The 14,353-nt window shown below is 43.3% G+C and overlaps 1 long non-coding RNA gene across 3 annotated transcripts in view; it reads left to right on the top strand.

Moving 5' to 3' along the window:
* The first annotated feature begins 429 nt into the window (after positions 1-429).
* LOC124902383 (uncharacterized) overlaps positions 430-14,353 on the top strand; it is a 121,044-nt gene continuing 107,120 nt past the window's right edge. For all 3 annotated transcript variants that reach the window (XR_007062071.1, XR_007062070.1, XR_007062069.1), the window contains exon 1: positions 430-545. This is a non-coding gene — a long non-coding RNA (uncharacterized LOC124902383). The remainder of the gene's footprint in view (positions 546-14,353) is intronic.

Below are 14,353 nucleotides of genomic sequence, written 5' to 3' on the forward strand. Positions count from 1 at the left end.
GTTGATAAATACTATCCCATTTCTGTCTTTCTCTTTCCACTTAAAACATTGTATTATGCTTAAAATATATACCTGTAGTGTTCCCTTATTAAAATTCTAAAAGAAAAAGCAGATTTCTTTTTTATTTGTTTAAGGAAAATGGTGCAGTAGGCATTCACTAGCTGCTTCTGTAGCGTCGATCATCTCTCTTTCTCATTTCTATGGTGAAGTTCTCCTTCCCCTCTTTTCTTCTTGCCCTTTTACAGAGCATCCAGGTGGGATGAACCCACCATCAATTCTATGGGTGGGCTCTGATTGGCATAAGCCAAACAACATGTCCTATTACTTTGGCCACAATGATTGGTTGGGCTAAGGTTGGTGCTTCAGGCATGAACCAATCAGTGCCTGGCATTCAAATCACCACCATGACTGGTTCAGACTCAAATAGCAACTGGAGATGGTAAGAGGTGAGGCTCCCTCTCCTCCTGGTTGGGAAAGAGGAAGTACATAACCCCAATAGCTGCCCGCAGCTATCAGGAGGCGCGTGGAACGTGACAGCAGTATGGGTAAGTGGAGTCAGCGTTGTCACCAAACCACACCTAATTTCTGCCTCTCTTCTGGACTCTTCAGTTATGTGAGTCATAAATACTCTTTATTATATTTGTATAAGTCATTTTGAATTGGAGTTTGTTATACTTTCACTCCAAAGTGTGTTATCTGATTACAAATAATTTCTTGTATTTTAGGCATGTACATCCTAAATATTGAAGTAGGTTTAAAAAAACAAACTCACAAGAAACTTTAAAAAATCTAAATTATCCAGAGGGCTTCAAATATCCAGAGAACATTTGCAAACAAATTTGGATCTCTGACTTATGTGCAAAATAATAATATAATAAAATAATAAAGGAAAATAAAATACCCATAGCCCGGGTGATTTGTTTGCTTCACATCTGAAGACAATCAAGATTGTGAGTTGGTAGTTTGGAGCCAGATGTAACAGATGCTCAATTGGCCCACAGCGTGCTGGTTTCAGATTGTCGTGTACAGTTGTCTTGGATTTTGTTGCTAAAAACACTGCTGTTTTTGCCAAACAATACTGTTTTGGGAGTTTGCCACCACAAACAGAGAGTTTGCTGTGATGAAGATTTGTTCTTTTTGTGGGACCGCAGAATACCATTAGATTATAATAATGTGAGAGGGAAGACATCAGCCTGCCTGTGTTCAGTATATCACATGCTACTAACTAGATTTAAAAGCACAGTTTTATTCTCAATAGCTAGCAACCAAGAGTGAAGATAATAGTGATGTGATTGGGCTTTTAAAATGCATGGGAAGTTGTATTCTCTTGGAGTCTGTATGCGTCCAAGGACATTCCTTCCATAGCCAATTTAATGTTCTGTGGGATCTTAGCCTATGCCGGAGAGAAGGCCAAAGCTAATCGAGAATCGTTGGGATGTAGCACAACAAAGCTCAGCTTTTACCCAGCTGGGGAGACAGGGTCTGCCGAGGAGTTAGCTCTCTAAGGAAGACATCCCATTATGTTTTCAGCTTCTTTATTCGCTTTGTTGGCCCAAACCTGGCAGCTTTCCGCTCTGTTCCTAGAACAAAATATTAAGGAAATAGAAGTCACTTTGGGAGACCAAGGCGGGCAGATCACCTGAGGTCAGGAGCTCGAGACCAGCCTGACCAACATGGTGAAACTCCGTCTCTACTAAAAATACAAAATAATAATAATAATAATTAGCTGGGCATGGTGGCAGGCGTCTATAGTCTGAGCCGAGATTGTGCCACTGCACTCCAACCTGGGCAACACAGCGAGACTCCGTCAAAAAAAAAAAACTAAAAATAAGTTGGCCTGAGAGTGGTAAAAATAAATAAAAAACAGAAATGGATAGAAGTTTTTTTTTCCATTTTTATTTCTTTTAACATTAACTACTGTATCTGACATTTGGGACATGGATAGACATAAATCATACATTTATTCCGTTAGGAATAAAATACATCTGGAACTCTATTAAAACTAATGAGGATGAAACTCACATTGACTGTGAGTATAAAAGCATCATAGGCAAGCACAGCCCAGGCTCTAGAGAGACTGTGCTCCCGAAGTCAGCTTTTATGGGTTGTATGGAACTTGGAGCACATCTCCTGATGTGAACAAGCACGGATGGTCACAAAGTCAGCCTGCTTGTTCAGAATGGTTTCAGTAGCAAAACAGTAAAACCCAAAGCCCAAACAGTGCATCAAGGTTGCTTCTGGGGGGAAATGGTTTGGACTTCACACTTGCTTGCTGTTCGTCCCGGCTGCACTGAGCTTGGGAGTTCCTTGGCAGTTCCCCAGGAGCTTACTTAGAGCAGTGTTGGGGAGGCTGTTGATGAGTGGAAACAGACAAGGATTCAGGTGTGGAGGGAACTAGCACCAAGGGGGATGGGAGTGTGAGCCAGTCAGGGGATGAGAAAGTCTGTGGCTCCTAACAGCATACGTTGTAAGGTCTCCGCTTGTGACTCATCTCCCTTTTAAAGATTCTTACCTTCAAGGGCAACATCAAAGAGGCAGACCTTGCCTCAGGTCGCTTCGTTGGCAAAGGAAGTGATGGAGTATGTATTCAACTCAAAGAATTGCAAAGGATGTCCAATGAATGTGAGCTTGGACTCTTTTGACACAGTGAGCTTTAGAATTCTGATTCTGGGGACGACCACAGAGTTTTGTGTAGTGGAATAATCCCACTTCTTATCAAAATATGAGCAGAATGTTTTATTTTTTATACATCTTAAGTTCCTTTTTTTTTTTTTTTGAGACAGAGTCTCGCTCTGTCACTCAGGTTGGAGTGCAATGGCTCTATCTCAGCTCACTGCAACCATTGCTTCCCAGACTCAAGCGATTCTCCTCCCTCAGCCTCCTGAGTAGCTGGGATTACAGTCATGCACCCAGCTAATTTTTGTATTTTTAGAAGACACGGGGTTTCCCCATGTTGGCCAGGCTGGTCTTGAACTCCTGACCTCAGGTGATCTGCCCGCCTTGGCGTCCCAAAGTACTGGGATTACAGGCATCAGCCACCGCGCCCAGCCCCTAAATTCAATTTCTATTTTACGAAGTACACCTTAATTTTTTTTATGAAAATCATAAGTACACTTCTGTATAATTTGAGTATGTCAGCAAAACACATTTAGAATGAAATCAATTATATAAACATTTTTTTCTTGAGAGAGAGTACCTACCTTTTGATTAGCTCTTCAAAATGTTGATATCCCCAGAAAAGCCAAGATTCACTGTTCTACAAAGACTGAGAGTATAGGTGCATTTATAGTTAGAGAGTGATGGATGGTTTTTCAGAAGAGCCAGAGATTTTTCAGCAGCATCCATAATGATGATTTTGGGACATACTCATTTGAAAGTACTAATGTCTCAATTTGTTTTAAGATGACAAAAGCAAAATTTAAATATGATACTTGTGAGGTTTCAATTGCATGATCTTGCAGTTTATTAAGGGGAATGTGGTTATAAATACATAATCATATTATAGGTATTAAAAGGTATATGAACATGTAAGTTATCAGAGCTGATAATAATTCCTGATTATTATTATTATTATTATTATTATTATTATTATTATTATTTGAGACAGAGTCTTACTCTCTCACCCAGGCTGGAGTGCAGTGGCACGATCTTGGCTCACCACCACCTCTGCCTCCCAGGTTCGAGCCATTCTCCTACCTCAGCCTCCTGAGTAGCTGGGATAACAGGTGCGCACCACCACGCCCAGCTAATTTTTTGATTTTTAATAGAGACAGAGTTTTGTCATGTTGGCCAGGCTGGTCTTGAACTCCTGACCTCAAATGATCTACCTGCCTTGGCCTCCCAAAGTGCTGGGATTACAGGCATGAGCCACTATGCCCGGCCGTGATTATTAAATGATTGTTTCTTGCTATGAGACTATGTCCAAGTGTTGTTAATGAAAAAGTATGGTGTGTGAGCTCTTTGAGACTGGGAGCTCTACCTTCCTTGTTCTTTGAATTTCCCTAAAGACCTACTGTCTTGGCCTCCATTTTTTTTTATATCTGCCATAATCTATTCCATAGTCAGGTAGCATAAGTGCTTACTGTGGGTCTGGTTCTCTTGCTTGCTTTTTGTCTTCTTCCTGCCTCCACATAATCATTATCTTACTGACTCTCGTCAGGTGTTTTTCCCTTTGTCAATATCCTCTGCTACTCCTCTAAATTCTCCTCTGATTTTTTTTTTCTGATATTCTGTTGTAATCTTTGCTCAGTTAACCAGCTCTGCCTTGTCAAAGGCCTCCTTAAATTCCCCCACGCTCCAATGTCTTTGCTTGGCGAGAAAGACCAAGAGCATGAGCATTCAACAAGGATCCCCTGAACATGCTGTGGTTGGTGTCAGGCAATATGCTGGGTGCTGGGAATGAGACGCACAGTCTCTACCCTCCAGGAGTTAAAATCCAGGCAGGTTAAACAGTCTGGCAGGATCTCCCAGGACCTTCTGTCACTTAGCAAGGAAGGAAAAGGGCTGTTGAAAATGAATAGTTTGGGTGCCACTCATTCTGCTGTATTTATCCCGTGATGTCCCTGGCGTTTGCATGGGTGCTAAATAAGCTGTTTCTCAGTCTTGTGTTACAGAAGAAGAACAAAACTACACAGTTGGTGACCATTTTACAAATAAATTCATTTTTAAAAGTCAGTCATCCTGAGAATATTCCAATTTCCCCCACCACTCCAAAAAAGCCCCAATCCTTTCCAACCACTTGAGGATGCAGTAATCCTTTTTTTTTCATTTTTTTACTGTATTTTTAAAATTTTTAACTTTTATATTTAGTTCAGGGGTACAGGTGCATGTTCGTTACATAGGTAACCTTGTGTCATGGGGATTTGTCATACATATTATTTCACCACCGAGGCATTAAGCCTAGTACCTGTTAGTTTTTTTTTATCCTCTCCCTCCCATCCTCCAACAGGCCCCAGCATGTGTTCCCCTCTGTGTCCACGTGTTCTCATCATTTAGCTCCCACTTATTAGTGAGAACATGTATTTGTTTCTCTGTTCCTGCTTTAGTTTGCTAAGGATAACAGCTCTGCAAAAGACATGATCTCATTGCTTTTTATGGCTACATAGTATTCCATAATGTCTATCCGAAGTGCCACATTTTCTTTATCCAGTCTGTCATTGACGGGTATTTAGGTGGATTCCACGTCTTTGCTATTGTGAATAGCACTGCAATGAACATATGCATGCATGTGTTTTTATAATGGAATGATTTCTGTTCCTTTGGGTATATACCCAGTAATGGGTTATGCATCAATACTTTGAGGAAGATTGCTTTGGACTTTATTTAATCCATCAGTCAGTCAACAAATGCTTACTGAGCACAGGTTGTTAGGTGCCAGGCACTGAGGACACAGCAGAGCCCAGGACAGATCCCGTGCCCTGAAGAATTTCCGGGTGTACAGTACATCACTGTGCCGTGATGTACTGTGGAGACAGCAGATGGGGGATCTATTCCATCACTACCTGCCTCATTTCTTTTATGCCTGGTCTAATTTCCTTCAAGTCAGATAAGTACTATAAATAGCTGGTTTGGTTTGCTCAGCAGAACCAAACTTGAGCTCCTGATTTCAAAGCCCCTGGGATGTGGTGAGGTCCCTTCAAGTGGCTCCCTCAGTTGCCGGACAATGACCTGTCTGCGGTTGCTGCTGATTTCACTGACTGTGTGGGATCACTTTTCAATAGACAGCTGTAACCTTAACCACACCGCATTGAGTCACAACAATATCTTTTTTGCCAAATTCTTCAAGAGGGGCTGTCTCCCACTCATGTGTACTCCTGTGAAACTCATAAAGGTGGATATGATTCATCATATTGCTAAGGCTTTTTCCAGAAATATCTGCATTCAATTTCTGTGAAAACAAAGGAAGCAAGCTTTCTCCTTCAAAAACATGGGATACAGGATTCAAAGCACTTAAAGGCAAACATCCCATCAGAATGAGGTTTTAACCATGTGAGATTCCATACTTCCCTTCACCCTATACAATCTCTACTTTGCTCCAATGCTTTGAGATCTGACACATGTTCCTCTATTCTCATTCAGGCCCCTAGACTAACATACCCTGGAGATGACAAAGGCTTTCTACAAATGACACTATTGGTCTTTCCAGTTCTTACCAACACAAGGAATGAATACCATTCTGGCCAGAGTAGTGCTCCTATAGATTGGGGGCCCATCTGCACTCAGTTCTTTTAGCCATCCCTCTGGAGCCCAGATGAAGGATGACACACCTGTTGCTGAGTCCCAGTGCCTGTTGGTTACTCTCCAGTGCTTGGAGTGGTATTCTGGGCTGACGAGGGCACCCACTCAGTGCCAAGACTGATTGTTTGGTCAACAGATGTCTGGGCCACCAAGATACCCTCACAGGGAGTCCTTTGGTCCCAAAACTTTGTGATGTTGTAGCTCTGGATAGCAGATAGATTGCTTAGGTGTGGCGACCCTGCCTTGAAATAAGAAGGCAGTCATGGGAAGTGGAGAGTGCAGAGGAGAGGATGGGGAGTGTGTTAGGCAATTGTTACATTGTTATAAAGAAATACCTGAGGCTGGGTAATTGATAAGGGAGGTTTATTTGGGTCATGGTTCTTCAGGGTGTACAGGAGGCAAGGTGTTGGCATCTGCTTCTGGTGAGGGCCTCAGGAACCTTCCAATCATGGTGGAAGGTGACAGGGAGCAGGTACATCACATGGTGAGAACGGAAGCAAGAGAAAGAGAAGGAGAGAGCCTCAGACTCTTCTAAACAAACAGATCTCAGGTGAATTGGGCAAGAACTCACTTACCACTAAGAGGGGATGGTGCCAAGCCATTCATGAGGGATTCACCCCCATGGTCCAATCACCTCCCAGCAGGCCCCACCTCCAACAAGGGGAATAATATTTCACCATGTGATTTGGAGGGTACAAACATCTAAACCATGACAGGGAGAGAGAGTGGCCCTAGGTATCAACCAAGGAGGCCACAGCCCAGGTACTTGGCCTGCGTCATGGCACTGCACCCGCTGACCACTGGGCCTATTTAAAACATTAAATGTGATCCAAAGAGGCTTTTGGTGGCCTTGTATCTGTCATGACATTTCAGCATGCTGCCATCTAGTGGACGTGTCCGTGGACTGACTGACTAGTCAGAGGAATTTGGACCCCTGGATCATCTTCTTCTCTATCAAATTGAGCAGTCAACACTGGGAACTTTGAAGTGAAATGTGATCTCCTTACTGGAAATTGTAGTAAAAGAAGGAAGTGGAGACAACAATGGACTATCTACGATCCAGTCTTCCACCCAAGCTCCCTAGGAAGATACTTTCATGGGTGGGATGTAGGTGGCTGGCACGTGATGTTAACAATCCCCTTGTGCTTGGCTTGATTGCTGCTGGAATATCAGTTTTTCCTTGCTTTCCCTATAGGGAAATCTGCTAAAGAAGTTGAGTCTCTTCATCAACATGTTCCCTGCAGTGGGTACTATTTCAAAGGGCTCAGTTTTCTCATGGTGTCCACTTCGCCTCCTCCTGTCCCTCCACTCCCATTGCGATCAGAGCAGAACCTCACTTTCACTGGCATCTCTTCTTGTTCAGTTAGAAAGTCTTTATGAGCCAGTGGCCTGTTTATTAAAATCCAGTCAGAAGAGTAGTGATCCAAATCCTATTGATCCCACCTCATTTAACTTAGTGAATTAAATACTTAGGAATACAGGGTGTATCTGGCTAGGTCAAGGTGACCAGAACAAGGTTATCTATGATTGATTATATATTTTAAAATATTATCAATATCTAAGCTTAAACATATTCACTGTGACTCAATTCTCTTCCAACAGAAATATTAATAATCCAAATAATATTCTTTGTGAAATAACCTGAATACAGACTAACATTTTTCCTTCTCTCCTGTTGTACCTCCTAAAGTGAAATGATCTTGAACAGAAGTGGAAGTCATTGCCCACTAGTCCTATGGCGAGGGTACATTTATCTCCCATTAATCTCTGTTTCACAACTGCCACCATGTCTATGAAGTTGGCCTTCTGCCTCCACAGATGTCCTAAGCCTAAAACACTTCCACAGATGACTTGGCTTCAGCTTCATGGACCACATAATATCAGAAATCAGCCATCATTTTGCCTCTCAATTTTGGAAAGCATTGTTCTACAGTGAAGGCTTACTTACATCCTTGGCTGTGCCTCAGAATCACTTGAGTTTTAAAAATGTACATGTGCCATAATTTGACACCTGAATATTCTGATTCTGTAGACTTAGGATGAGATCAATTGTCTGTAGTCTTAACTCCAGTGATTCGTTGTCAGAACAAACAGCCGACTGTTCTAGACCTTCCAAGTCTTGTTCCACATGTTCACTGCCTGTTGTGTATAGACCATTAGCCATATGGAATGGATCAATTCATACTCAAATGGTAACTCCAGAATAGCACCTCTTACTAAAAAAAAGACAAATGCTCTATGTATTCCCAACAGAATTCAGTTGTGATGACACACCATAGTTCACTGGCCAGAACACTCCCTTTGGAATCCATTACTCTTCCACTTCTACTGGTCCTCCACCACCTCTGGCACCACTGTTACCCCAACAGCTGGTCAATATTAAGCTGTCGTCATATACATATAAGGAATTCAGTAACTAGTGCTGGGCCCTGGGAGACTGGGGGGAGATTTGTGAGTCTGGGCTTGATTCCAGATACAACACACATTTTGCCCAAGCCAGCTGCTGGAAGACCAAAACTTCTGACTCTCCAAGGAAACAACAGATGCTATATTCCAGGTCTTTACACCCCAAGCATTCTACTCATGCTCATCCAAGACTCCAGACTCCCTTCTCTACCTTGAACCCTTATGTACATGTTTGAAGAGGTTCTGGGAACATAGTGGCATTAAAATCAGCCACTGGGTCAAACAGCTAGGCGAAGAAACCCTTCTCCCACCTCAGAAATGTCCTGGGGCACATTAGGGCCTGCTCTGCATAAGCCTGGGGGAAGCAAAATCCCTCTCCTGTTGGTGGAAGGTGGTGTCTAAATTCAGTGAGCCCCTTGTATAATTCATCCTACTAAAACCCAAGGGTGCAATTATCTTTAATAAAAGCTACTCACTGCAGCCATATTCTTTGACTTGGAGAATGTTCCCAGTCTCTGTGCCCACCCCCTGGTTCAAATCTTTTCACTTAACCGTGGTTTCCTTGGCTTCCAGCTGGTGGCCTCCCTCGCATCTGTATTTTCTCTCTCTCCCCGCAATCCTAGCCTGGGATTGCATTCCTGATCGGCCGTCCTACTGGGTTCTGATTTAAAGATGCTGCTTCCTGGGTCTCCAGTGGTCAAGTGACTTTTTCCCTTAACATCCTTTCCAGCCTCCTGGAGTAGAACATCATGGCTCAGGCCTAGTACCCATACTCCAATTTTTTGAGTAGGTTGGGGGGCTAGCCCCAAGGACTCAGTAAGAAAAATTAATACCCCTTCCTGAATGTAGGGAAGGAAATGCAGAAGAACACTTAATCCCCGTGGGAGTCTTCCCTCCAATTCCCCAAGCTGTGACCACCAGTCCTGAGGTCTTTCTTAATTGCTGCATCATTTTAACTTACGATTTTTCATCTTCTTTCATCTGACCAGATTGTTAGCTCTCTGATGGCAACAATGTGCTACCTAAACTTTGTTTCTTCGTAGTATCTGGTGTAATCTTTTACTTCAAATAGGGGATCAAATAAATATCAATACATATAGATGCTATGAAATAGGCAAACACATATCACTAGTGCCTTCTCTACACAAAGATAGAGGTAAATGTGATGGGTTCAGGGGTTTCTGTGATTTTAGGTAAGATGTGCTGGTTGGGTATCAGAGGCTTCTAGAGGGAGTCAGTGACAGGGAGGGACTGCTCAGCCTCACAGGAGGGGGAGTGTATTAGTCTGTTTTCACACTGCTGATAAAGACATACCTGAGACTGGGTAATTTAGAGAAAAAGAGGTTTAATGGACTTACAGTTCCACATGGCTAGGAGGTCTCACAATCATGGCAGAAGGCAAAACACACATCTTACATGGCAGAAAGCAAGAGAGGGAATGAGAACCGAGTGAAAGGGGTTTCCCCTTATAAAACCATCAGATCTCATGAGACTTGTTTACTACCATGAGAACAATATGGGGAAAACTGCCCCTATGGTTCCATTATCTCCCAGCGGGTCCCTCCCGTGTGGGAATTATGGGAGCTACGATTCAAGATGAGACTTGAGTGGGGTCACAGCTAAAGGATATCAGAGAGAGCATCTGACAAATGCAGTGGAAGGATTTCTTGAGAATGACTGAGTTCATATCCCAAATGAGAACCATACGCAATTTCCTATAGATTTTTCCAGATCTCCCCCTCAAAGCAATAAGGGGCATCTGCTGGATGGCTGTAATCATGTTCAGTTCTTCCTCATTCGTTAACCTGTGAGGGCATTCACCAGAGTGGGCTCAGACTCTTGCGTGTAATCTTTTTCCAGGCCCTGGGGTTTGTTCTGCACCAGCTGTGCTGTGACATCTTTTATTTACCCCCATCAAAGTCCACAGGACTAAGCACAGAAAGGAACTGGTCTTTTCTGATGTAATTGCTTTTACCACAGCCTATAAGTCATGAATCTTTACCTGTTGATTTTTAGGAAAAGATTTTTTTCCCAATGTGTTATGCAAAATGCTGGCTATATTCTCTTCAAATGAACGTTATGCAAAATGCTGGCTATATTCTCTTCAAATGAACGTTATACAAAATGCTGGCTATATTCTCTTCAAATGAACGTTGCCTCTTTCTGTCTTTCTCTACCTGTATGAACTTCTGCTTGGGTTCTCTTTGCAAGCTTTATTCTCTGTGGCCAAGAAGGATCTCTTTGCCCAGTGAACATATTGTGTGCAGTTGTTTCACACAGCTCTGGTGGGTGCAGCTGCTGCTTGCTTGCAGTCTGAATTGAAAATGGATTTTCCTCTATGCTGCTGTGACACTCCCTGTGGCCGGGAATGAAACAGTTCGAAGTATTCTCATCATCCACTCACTTGGGCTATGTGGCAGGCCTGGAGGAGGCGTGGTTAACAGGAGGATGAAGAGAAGGAGAGTTGCTGCTGCTGTTTGTAATTAGAGACTAAGGTTGTTTGATGATGAGGGTAAAGAGTACATAAGAAATATCTCTACAACCCATAATCAATTCAATGTGATCAAAACAATAAATATACATACAATAAATATACATACAATAAATATAATGTAATCACTGCAGAGCCAGTAATCATTTCTGAAGACAGGGTAGCAGGTGTGAGAGGACGTAGGAGGAGGTAGAGGGCAGGAAAGTTGGTGAGGAACTCAATGGGGCAGCTGGGTCTTATGGCGACATAATGTAACAGAAAGGAAATACCTGAGAATGAAAGGAATGAGAGAGGAAAGGTTAAGTACCTGGAACCTCAAAAGGATCTTTTATTTTTTTGAGATAAGGTCTCACTCTGTCACCCAGGCTTGAGTGCAGTGGTATGTTCATGGCTCACTACAGCCTCAACCTCCTGGGCTCAAGCAATCCTCCCACCTTAGCCTCCGAGTAGCTGGGACTACAATGATGCAACACCATGCCCCGCTAATTTTTTTTTTTTTTTTTTAGTAGAGATGGGGTCCTGCTATATGGCCCAGGCTGGTCTCAAACTCATGGGCTCAAGTGATCCTCCTGATTTGACCTCCCAATAGTGCTAGACTTTCAGGCATGAGCCACCATGCCTGGCTAACCTTCAAAAGAACCTTGCCACCACTGCCAACACTCAGAAACTCTGAAAAGTTGGAAGCTGGCTCTGAGTTAATGAGCTGAGTTTGTAAGTCTTTTTGACAAGAGATCAACTGCTATGCTCGCGGACTCGTGCGTTGCTCCGTCTTGGTTTCTTGACTTTGGCCTGAGCCCCAGCCCGTCCCTGTGGGTACAGGTTTTATGGACTGATCGATCCATGTGACTGCTTATTTTCCTTCATACTTTCTACCACCATTTCATGGAGAACTCTGCTTGCTGCCAGCCTGTATGTATCTTCAGGGACTTGTGTGACTTACTTTCTCCTGCAGTGCTATTATCAGAAGATTGTATCTTCTTTAGGTGATTTTTCCATATCAGGCAGCTCTATAAAAATGATAACAGTGGGTGTAAAGTAAGTTTTGCATGAAATCTTAAAAAATATTCTACCTAGTGGCATTATTTTTCATTTGCATTTGGAGGGGACTGAAGGCTGAGTGAGTGAGTGAGAAAAAGGGACACCTTGGGAGATGCGTTTTTGGCAATAGAAGAGGAGGCTTTTCTGGTGTGTGGCTTGGCTTTTTTTTTTTTCCTTTTCTTTTTTTTGAGACAGAGTCTCATTCTGTCGCCCAGGCTGGAGTGCAGAGGTGCCATCCCAGCTCACCTCAACCTCCGCCTCCCGGGTTCAAGCAATTCACCTGCTTTAGCCTCCCGAGTAGCTGGGATTATAGGCGTGCACCACCATGCCCTGCTAACTTTTATATTTTTAGTAGAGACAAGGTTTCACCATGTTGGCCGGGCTGGTCTCAAACTCCTGACCTCAAGTGTTCTGCCTGCCTTGGCCTCCCAAAGTGCTGGGATTACAGGCGTGAGCCACTGTGCTCCCCCTTGTTTTGTTTTGTTTTGTTTTGTTTTGGAAAGCAATAAAGCCCAAAGCTCAATTTGTTTTTGGTTTGCTGCAGTTGCTGAAAAGAAACACTTTGTCTCCAGCAAAGACAGAAAGGAGGACTTTATATAGCAGTAATGTGATCACAGATATTTGATGTGGCCTCCATAATGAGGCCAACAGTGAGAAGCAAAGACAGTTCTCTAGAGGAGGTCAAGGCAATAACAGGTAAATGAACGCTGTGCTAGATTCAAAAGATGGGATTTTGGTCTGGTGAGGTGGCTCATGCCACTAATCCCAGTACTTTTGGAGGATGAGGCAGGTAAAGTGCTTGAGCCCAGGAGTTTGAGAGCAGCCTGAGCAACATGGCAAAATCCCATCTCTACAAAAAATACTAAAATTAGCAGAGCACGGTGGTGCCTGCCTGTGGCCCCAGCTACTCAGGAGGCTGAGGCAGGAGGATCACCTAAGCCCCATACTGCCGTGGGCTGTGATTGTGCTACTGTACTCCAGCCTGGGCAACAGAGTGAGACCGTATCTCAAAAGAAAAAAAAGTGGGATTTTGAATACATCTGGAATTATGGCTGAGTTGTCTCTTGTAATATAGGTGAGCCATTGAAATCAGAGGTCCTGGATTCTGAATAGGGCTGAGTTACATCTGTTCTCATGAAGTTCTGGACAGCAGCTGCTTGTGTGTGTGTGTGTGTAGCTTAGCTCTAAGACAGAGCTAGGTTATGAGAGCCTGTCTTATATTTTTTTCTTTTGGTGTTGAAAAATAAATAGTTTTGTGTGTGTGTGTTTTGTTTGTTGTTTGTTTTTGTTTTTTTTTTTTTTTGAGATGGAGTTTCGGTCTTGTTGTCCAGGCTGGAGTGCAGTGGCGCGATCTCGGCTCACTGCAAGCTCCACTTCCCGGGTTCAAGCGATTCTCCTGCCTTAGCCTCCAGAGTTGCTGGGATTACAGGTGGGCACCACCACGCCCAGCTAATTTTGTATTTTTAGTAGAGACAGGGTTTCGCCATGTTGGTCAGGCTGGTCTCGAACTCCTGACCTCAGGTGATCCGCCCGCCTCAGCCTCCCTAAGTGCTGGGATTACAGGCGTGAGCCACAGCGCCCAGGCCAATACATTATTTCTTTTCACAACTGAGACATTCTGGGGCTCATGTGGAAGCATTCAAAAATACAGTCACTGGAAAGACTTTAGTCAAGCCACTAACAGCTTGCTGGCAGAAAATAAGGAATTGAGAGATGATCTCAGTGGTACTGTGAACGTCTGTGTGAACTGAGAAGGTTTTCCTAGTCACAGGACAAGGCTGCCTGCCCTTCAGTTTGTCCTCCCCACCACTTCTATCCTGCACACAGCTGGCAGCTCTCATGAGCTGTGTCCTGAAAGAATAACCAAACATCCTTTGTTCCTCACCAAAGTTCTTCGGTAACTCCCCTTCTTCCCCGACTCCTCCCAATTCAATGTGTATATTTAAATCAAGAACGGTTCATATTGTAAGAAACTGAAATACATAAAAACTTTAAAACTCTCAATTTAAGTATAAATTGCATCTGTCGTTACGCTGCCACCTTGCTACCGTAATGACATAATCTTGGCAGCCAATGGACAAATTTGAAACACGTCAGTAAGTCTTTGAAGTTGTGACATCACACATGTAATTGTACTGAACGGAACAGGTTCATGGAGAGTCTCCCATTTTTACTGACAGC

The sequence above is a fragment of the Homo sapiens genome, chromosome 10 (assembly GCF_000001405.40).
Source record: "Homo sapiens chromosome 10, GRCh38.p14 Primary Assembly".
Lineage (NCBI taxonomy): Eukaryota > Metazoa > Chordata > Mammalia > Primates > Hominidae > Homo > Homo sapiens.